Source organism: Homo sapiens, chromosome 1, assembly GCF_000001405.40.
Source record: "Homo sapiens chromosome 1, GRCh38.p14 Primary Assembly".
Taxonomy (NCBI): Eukaryota; Metazoa; Chordata; class Mammalia; order Primates; family Hominidae; genus Homo; species Homo sapiens.
This window is the reverse complement of record NC_000001.11, coordinates 204,708,611-204,715,872: the sequence shown is the minus strand read 5'-3', so window position 1 is coordinate 204,715,872 and position 7,262 is coordinate 204,708,611. Positions and strand designations below refer to the sequence as shown.

The 7,262-nt window shown below is 49.2% G+C and overlaps 1 long non-coding RNA gene across 1 annotated transcript, besides 5 other annotated features; it reads left to right on the top strand.

Moving 5' to 3' along the window:
* Positions 450-1,087: an enhancer, noted in NCBI's record as "OCT4-NANOG-H3K27ac hESC enhancer chr1:204683914-204684551 (GRCh37/hg19 assembly coordinates)". NCBI's record gives its function as "activates a minimal SCP1, AML or CMV promoter by ChIP-STARR-seq in naive H9 embryonic stem cells {active_cell/tissue: H9 hESC(naive)}" and the evidence as "EXISTENCE:reporter gene assay evidence [ECO:0000049][PMID:30033119]".
* On the top strand, positions 823-6,994 carry LOC105371693 (uncharacterized). The gene is made up of 2 exons (XR_922454.3): positions 823-1,076; positions 6,364-6,994. It is a non-coding gene; the product is annotated as an uncharacterized LOC105371693 (long non-coding RNA).
* Positions 3,037-4,004: an enhancer, noted in NCBI's record as "H3K27ac-H3K4me1 hESC enhancer chr1:204680997-204681964 (GRCh37/hg19 assembly coordinates)". NCBI's record gives its function as "activates a minimal SCP1, AML or CMV promoter by ChIP-STARR-seq in naive H9 embryonic stem cells {active_cell/tissue: H9 hESC(naive)}" and the evidence as "EXISTENCE:reporter gene assay evidence [ECO:0000049][PMID:30033119]".
* Positions 4,005-4,974: an enhancer, noted in NCBI's record as "OCT4-NANOG-H3K27ac-H3K4me1 hESC enhancer chr1:204680027-204680996 (GRCh37/hg19 assembly coordinates)". NCBI's record gives its function as "activates a minimal SCP1, AML or CMV promoter by ChIP-STARR-seq in naive H9 embryonic stem cells {active_cell/tissue: H9 hESC(naive)}" and the evidence as "EXISTENCE:reporter gene assay evidence [ECO:0000049][PMID:30033119]".
* Positions 4,975-5,944: an enhancer, noted in NCBI's record as "OCT4-NANOG-H3K27ac-H3K4me1 hESC enhancer chr1:204679057-204680026 (GRCh37/hg19 assembly coordinates)". NCBI's record gives its function as "activates a minimal SCP1, AML or CMV promoter by ChIP-STARR-seq in naive H9 embryonic stem cells {active_cell/tissue: H9 hESC(naive)}" and the evidence as "EXISTENCE:reporter gene assay evidence [ECO:0000049][PMID:30033119]".
* Positions 5,945-6,914: an enhancer, noted in NCBI's record as "NANOG-H3K27ac-H3K4me1 hESC enhancer chr1:204678087-204679056 (GRCh37/hg19 assembly coordinates)". NCBI's record gives its function as "activates a minimal SCP1, AML or CMV promoter by ChIP-STARR-seq in naive H9 embryonic stem cells {active_cell/tissue: H9 hESC(naive)}" and the evidence as "EXISTENCE:reporter gene assay evidence [ECO:0000049][PMID:30033119]".

Here is a 7,262-nt window from a genome sequence, read left to right as displayed (position 1 = left end):
AGAATGAATAAACAAACAGAAGGATTTGCTTTTCAAACCAGAGCCTCCCTGCCTCCTGCTCTGCCTGCTAAGGATCAGGAGGAGACAGCAGCTAAGGAAGGCAGTCCTGAATTTTCCCTAGGGATAGGGAGTAAGTGGGGGGATCCCTGAGAAACGCTGGAAGCACCCACTCTGCTGCCAAGGCTGCGAGGAAAACAGGCCAGAGTATCCTAACAGCCTCCACTCAGAAGGGGCCTGGAAACTTTTAACCAGACAAAATAACAAATGCAGTGGTTTAGGGCTTGGTGGGGCTTCCCACCCGTCCCACCCCTGTCCCACACACCTAGGCCCACATTGAATGCCCTCAGCACCTCCGGCTGCACAGGGGCCTGTTTTCCCTGACTCTGCTGCTGTTCACAGAACCAACTTCCTCCCACCCCACACAGACGCTCCCTTCCCAGAGCTCATTGGGAACCTTCTGATTTGCATCTCCAAAGAAATAAAATAAATTCCACTAAATGCTGTTTGTTTTTCCTTCTGTTTGCCCTGAGGCGGGCCTGTTGTGGCTCCTGGGATCCAGAGTGGGTAATCTAGGCGATTTGTGGTTCAGGGAGCCGGGGACCTTAGAGGCCTTTACAATAAAAAGAGGGGAGACTGCAACTCCCATTTGAAAGGAGATGGGGAGAGAGGCGGAAAAAGGAAAGAGGAACTGACAACAAAACCTGCCTGACACAATTATAGCCACATTTGCATAACAGAGACCGAGAATCACTTAGAAGGAGTGATAATTAGATTCTCTGGTGATTAGGGACAGTTTCCAAACGTGGGGAGAGGAGATGGAAATCCAACCTTGAAGTGGAAAAAGAATGTACGGAATTGAGGCTCACTGTTGGGAGGTGGGAAAGAGGGCTCACAGACTGAGAGCTAATTGGCTCAAGGCCGACACCTCCTGGCAAGCCAACGTTTCCAGCTCAGATCTGCCTGTCTGGACTAGTGGGGGAAAGCACTGAAGACCCACAGATCTACGTCGGGGGCATCCAGGCTCTTTCCCAGGCCAGCTGTGTGACCTTGTACACCTGTAATCTCCCTGAAGCCAGGTAACTCACATTCCAAATAGGGTTTAGAGGGCTGCTTGTTGCTTAAACGAGATACTGCTGGAAGAGGGTGTGGAGGACAAGCACACGGCCAGTGGGCTCATCTGAAAGACACCCTCCCCAACTCCCTTCCCAATGGGCATCTTACAACAACTGTGTTGCTTCTGGTAGTGCTCCATAGTGCGGGGTGGACCCCCTTTATAAGGAGGTAGCCTGTGAATTAGGAAGGCAGTAACCCCAGGGTGGGAAAGAAGCTGCCAGCCTTGTGGCTGGGGCATGTGTGAATATGGAGGCCTAGGAGTGTTAGGAAACGTGGTCTTAGATCAGCTCTTTCTCTCTCTCTCTCTCTTTCTCTCGAGCCCCAGTTCTCACTTTCTCCGCTCAAGAAAGCATGACATCATAGGGGTCACCTTGAATGTAATATTCATGCATATATAAAAACCATTTGCAAATGTGGATCCCTTATTATTAGTAACAGATAATTTGTATCATACCTCCTACTGCCTGGGCTATGAGCTTCTGGATGACAGGGACAAGATTTTTTATTTTTATTGTCATTTTAAATTTCTGGCACTTGGCACATAGTGGGTGATCAGGAAATGTTTAATAAATGTCCAACCATTTTTGACACTTCCTTTTTTCTCCAGTGTAGTGGGATTGGCCAATGGCAGGAGACTCTTTCAAACCAGACATCTTAACTTAGGTCTATATGGCCTTCATGACAGCAAAGAATTAAGGGACTTGTGGGGACTCATAATCCTCCCTACATGACTTCTGGGCAAGGTCAGGATGTTGGAACCAATGCTCTGGGTTTCCAAGAAAAGAGTGAATTGCAAGGGGCTTCTTTAAAGCAGAACAGATTCATGTCATCCTCACCTCTCATCTGGACTCCAACGTTAGAACCTAATTGCTGTGATTAGAGAGGAATGAGTCAACATTTATCCTTCTTTTAAAGGGGTGTGTGTGTGTGTGTGTTTCATTTAAGTTGTGGCTATGGACGTATTCTTGCAAGTCAAGTATTAGCTGAAGCTAAGAGTTTGTGTTCAGCTGGTTTCCATGGTAACCTGTTAGCTTCCATTGCCTTCCTCTCTCCCCTCCTCTGTTACGGGGATACTCCTTTCCTAAAGGCCAAGATTAGTAAAAGAGAGAAACGGACATCATCCGCACCAAGCTCAACTGCTCCCAGACAGCACAGCTGAGGTGTGGCTATAAACCCAGTGTGTCTGTCAGTGTGTGGTGGGGCTCAAGAGCTGGTGGATAACATGCTCCCTGCTCCAAGGTCGCTCCCACCCAGATTCCTGTTCAGCCCCTACCCCACCCTGATGGCCAAGGCTGGTGCTGTAGGCACACCTGTGCCCAGGGACTTAATTATATGCTTGGGATTTTGTTCTTTCCAAGACCAGGTATTAATTTTTAAAATAGAAGGACAGCAAAGAGTTAGCAAGGAGACAGGAGAGGCGAAGAGAGGGAGAACGACAGAGACAGAGAGTCAGAAAAGGAGAACAACAACCTTTAAATTTTTTGCTGTTTTGAGCAAACAACAGTCCCCAGAGATTACAGGTAGAAGCAGAAGTCAGAAAACTAGGACTCAGGCTCAGAATAAATGTAGGCATAGCCTAAACATTTCCCAATTTGCAACTCACTCATTTGATGACACAAGTTATATAAGCCCATAAAACCACCTTTCTGTGGCAATACACATATAAAGGTCCCCACCCTTCACTCTCAATATTTCTATTACACTCAGTTACCTTCTTAGAGCAAGAGGACACATGGAAAGAATCATAGACTCAGGCTCTGTTTAACCTAGACAACTACATGCCAGACACTGCTTGAAGCCCATCACATGTATTCGTTAACTGATTTCATCCCTACAAAAACCTTTTGATGTGGGTGCTATGAAGAACCACCATTTTGCAGAGATGGAAATGGAAGTGCAAAGAGGTTAAGTAAATTGTTCAAAGTCACACAGCAAGCTGGTGGCAGATCCAGGATGCAAAGACTCCAGGGTTTGTGTTTGTAACCTCTACATCAATGTGGCTGAAAGAGAACTCAGCGAGCATCTCATCCAACCATCTCACTTCCTCAGAGGAACCAAAATCCCAGAGTTCGTGACTTACCCAAGGTCATACAGCTTGTGAGCAGCAGATGCCCTGGGCAAGTGCCCAGATAATTAAGCCGCAGCTGCTTCCACCCCTTCTGGAAAAAGTCAACAAGGGCAAAGTCCTTGCCTCCAACCCCATCTGCCTCCCCGTCCCCGGGGTTCACAGCCCTGGCTTCCTGCCGTTTGAGGTGCCCCTTCCCAGATGGCCCATCAGCCTGTCTAAGTCTCACCTCCCTGGGTGAAGGGGAGGGGGCTCTGCCCAGCAGTCCTGCTAAGAGTGACAGCACCGCCCACAACCCTGTCATCTCTGCCTCGCTCGTCCCTGTCAGCCGCCTCCCAGCTCCCAGCTGTCTGTCAGCAGCTGCTCAGGGATATAAATAACCAGCCGTTGGCAGAAGCGCCCTGGCAGAGAGGGGCGGGGGCACGGAGGAGGCAGAGGGGCTGCTGACAGGCAGTGAAGAAACTCGAGGGTCCTCCTTCCGGAGCAGACGTTCCAAGCGGATCCTCAGAGGAGCACGTTGAGACCTGGAGCGGGAAAGGGAGTGAGATTTAGCAGGAAGCAGCTGAGTAGAGGGATGGAGGCCGGTGGGCCAGCCCTAGCACTGTGTCCGAGGCCTTCCACCTATCGGGTGCCACAGACTTAGGCACTGTGTAACCTAGACAGCTACATGCCAGGCACTGCTCAAATCCCATCACATGTAATCCCATCACATTAACTCATTTCATCCCTACAAAAACCCTCGGATGTGGGTGCTGTGAAGAGCCATCGTTTTACAGAGATGGAAACGGAAGCACAGAGAGGTTAAGCAAATTGCCCAAGGTCACAGAGCAAGCTAGTGGCAGAGCCAGGACTCCAGTCCTCCCCTCCATCCCGATTCTTGAGGGAGTATATGGGGGACTGTCCTCCCTATAATGTTTGTGGGGTATAGGGATGTTTGTGGGGTATAGGGATGATAATTCTGTAGGGAGCAGGCGATCCTGGAGAGGAGAGGGTCCCCAAGGCCTGATGTAAGCACAGAGTGGGGGTGGATAGAAGGAAAAGGAGAGTTTGGGCAGAATTGGAAGGACAAGAGAATAATTTAAAATTCAGCTAACATTTATCAAGCCTGTAGCAGATGTTGAGTGCTTCCGCACACATCACCTCATTTCATCATCTCTATAATCCCAGGGTGGGCAGTATCGCTGTTTTACAGATAAGGACGCTGAGGAGTGATAAGGAGAATCAAGAAACAGCAGCGCTGGAAGAGACTTTCGAGATCATTAGGTTCTGTCCCCACATTCTGCTGAGAAGACACAAAGAAGTTAGTGACATGGCCAAAGACACACAGCCTGCGGTGCAGGGCTGGACACGGCTCCACTGCACTCTGCAGCCACCTTGGCCTGCTCCGCCTCTTGGTGTGTGGCTGACAGCTGCTGGATTGATCCGGCCAGTCACCTTAGGAAAGTCACTGAATGCCCCAGAGCGTAGGTAAAGTTAGGAGAGGGGCTAACGGGATCTATGTTATGGCTCAGCAAAGGCTGCCCTTCTAGCAGCTCTTGGAATAGAGTGACGGATCTCACACTGTGGTTTGCATCAGTAACACCTGGAAGGCTATGAAAACGGAGCATTGAGTCGCACCCCAGAGTTTCTGAATCAGTGGGTGTATTGTTTATCTTTTTAACTTTCTATATGTATTACGATGTGTTGATGTTTAAACATCTTTCTGGCTGGAGACAGACTGCCCCTCCCTGGGCTAGCCATATTCTTAGAGACAGTGATGGGCTCAGTGGGAGCAGGCCTTTTATATGCAAACGAACCCACCCAGAGCCAGATCTCAGTCTGGCCCTTTTACCCCGGGAAGCAATCTTCCTCTGCCCTACTCATCCCAGGGCCAGGTACCAGGCAACTGGAGACCACCCCTGTAGTTTAAAGCCTGTTGACATTATCCAAACTAGCCAATTCTAAAATGTTCACTCCGCCCTGCTTTGCCTTTCTTGTGGAAAACCCAGTGAAGAGTAGCTCTCTCCTCACTCCTGCCCATCCTGCCTCTAGGCCACTCTGACACTTTTCCACACAAAAGTGCACAGGACAGGAGGTCGGTGCTGGAGCCTGAGAATTGGGATTTCTATTAAATAACAAGTTCCCTTGTGATGCTAATACTGCTGGTCTGGGGACCCTACTGTGAGAACTATTGGAATAGAGGAGTCAAAGGTAGCCGGGAAGATGTAGACACATTTGCATAGGGCGCCCAGGGAGCCCCTTGAAAGGAAAAGGATCAGGACGCTGATCTCTTATTTGCTCTAATTCAGCAGGTCCTGATGGACTGAGATGGTAATGACCTCAGACATCACCGGTGAGAATAGACAAAAGGGGCCCCAGGGGAGAATTCATCCTGAGGGCAACTGCAGACAGGGCTAAGCAAAGTGTGGCCCCTGGACCAGCAGCATCAACATCCTGTGGGAGTTGTTAGAAATGCAGATTATTAGGCCCCATCCAAGACCTACCGAATCAGAATGTCTGAGAGTGTGGGCCCCAGATCTGTGCTTGAAGAAGCTCTCTGGGTGATTCTCACACACAGTGAAATTTAGGAAGCGCCAGTATAGCCCAATCAGCTGCCTTCACACTGGAGCCTGCATTACCTTGATGGCAAAGTGGCCGGTTCTGGCACAGAGTGTGGCACAGAGTGTGGCTAGTGTGGCAGTGGCTAGAAACTCTCCCAGACCCAGCTACTTAGCTGGTGACCTGTGGGGACAGTAGCAAAACAGGTGAGTAAAAGCTCATTTGCACTGTATCAGAAACCCCAGAAGTGGCATAGCCATGAGCAGGTCTGCGCAGGCGTCTGATTGGCAAAGGCATAAAGGCCGCCATGGGGAAGCCCCTCTGGATTGTGTGAGACCAATGCAGAGCCATCATTCAGGAGGCAGTGATAGAAGCAGGGACTGGGCCGGCTCTGCAGTGATCTTTTTACTGGCCCATCACACTACACAAGCCCTAGGGCTTTTCCATCCATTGTCAGGGGCAAGCGCTGGGGAGGAAGAGAGGGTACTAAGAGATACTAGACTTTCTGCTTAGTTGGAAATGTGCTTGCTTAAAGGACTGATTTAAGTATTCAAAGATCTGTGACCTTCTTTGTATCCTCAGCTGATGAAATACATCGCTCCATTTATATTTCTGTAAATTTCATATTTTATTTGTGCTTCTAACAGAGAGAGTTGGTTAGTGGGACTTGCAGCGGAGAATTCTGACTCATGGTAGCCCGAAGATGAAGGCTAAGGAAGGAGGTCATTTGAAGCATATTGCATGGCCCAGGATCTTTAGTCTGCCCTGAAGGACTGTGGATTCCAAACAGCAGAAGATGGTTCCACTAAAGACTGCTTCAAGGGAGGGTCTGGGAGAGGAGTGAATGGGAAGATGCCCCTAAACACCTGGAGGTGATTCAGCCTCACCCTCCCCCAACATCTGGCACCTACCTCCCCTTCCCAAGCACCTCACACCTCTGCTGAGGCGGTTCCCTTGGTCTGGAATGCCACTCTCCACTCTGCCCAGATGACGAACACCTGTGCCTCTTTCAGGACTTGGCTTGGGATCTTTTCTCGGAAGATTTTCCAGACCTGTCCTGAGATAGTGTTTCCATTTCTCCCCATGCTCCCACTGGACCCTCTATGTATTTCCATCATAGCACATATACCTTCTGCTCCAGGATTGCAAATTCCCCAAGGCAAAGATGGCCTTGTCTTTCTTTTTAGACTCAGTACCTGGAATGGCAAATGAGATAGATACTACCCAGGTAGAGCTTATGATCAGGTGGGATTTTTATAAAGATATCTGAATAAGGAATTAAGCCTTCAGTGAGGAGCTTTAAATGCATGATATTTTACCAATTACACTACCAGGACTTTAGCACCTAATCTGCTTTAGAGTCACTCCTGCCTAGGGGAGCTCCCAATCTAATGAGGTAAACCCCATTCCCGCCCCTAGAGAGTTCCAGTCTGAGAGAGGTTGACACAGCCCTTGCCCTCAGCAAATTCCCAGAGTGATGCGTAAACATGAAGTATTAGTCATGACACTGTTTCCTGCCAGGTATTAGTTTCTTTTCATGCAGTGA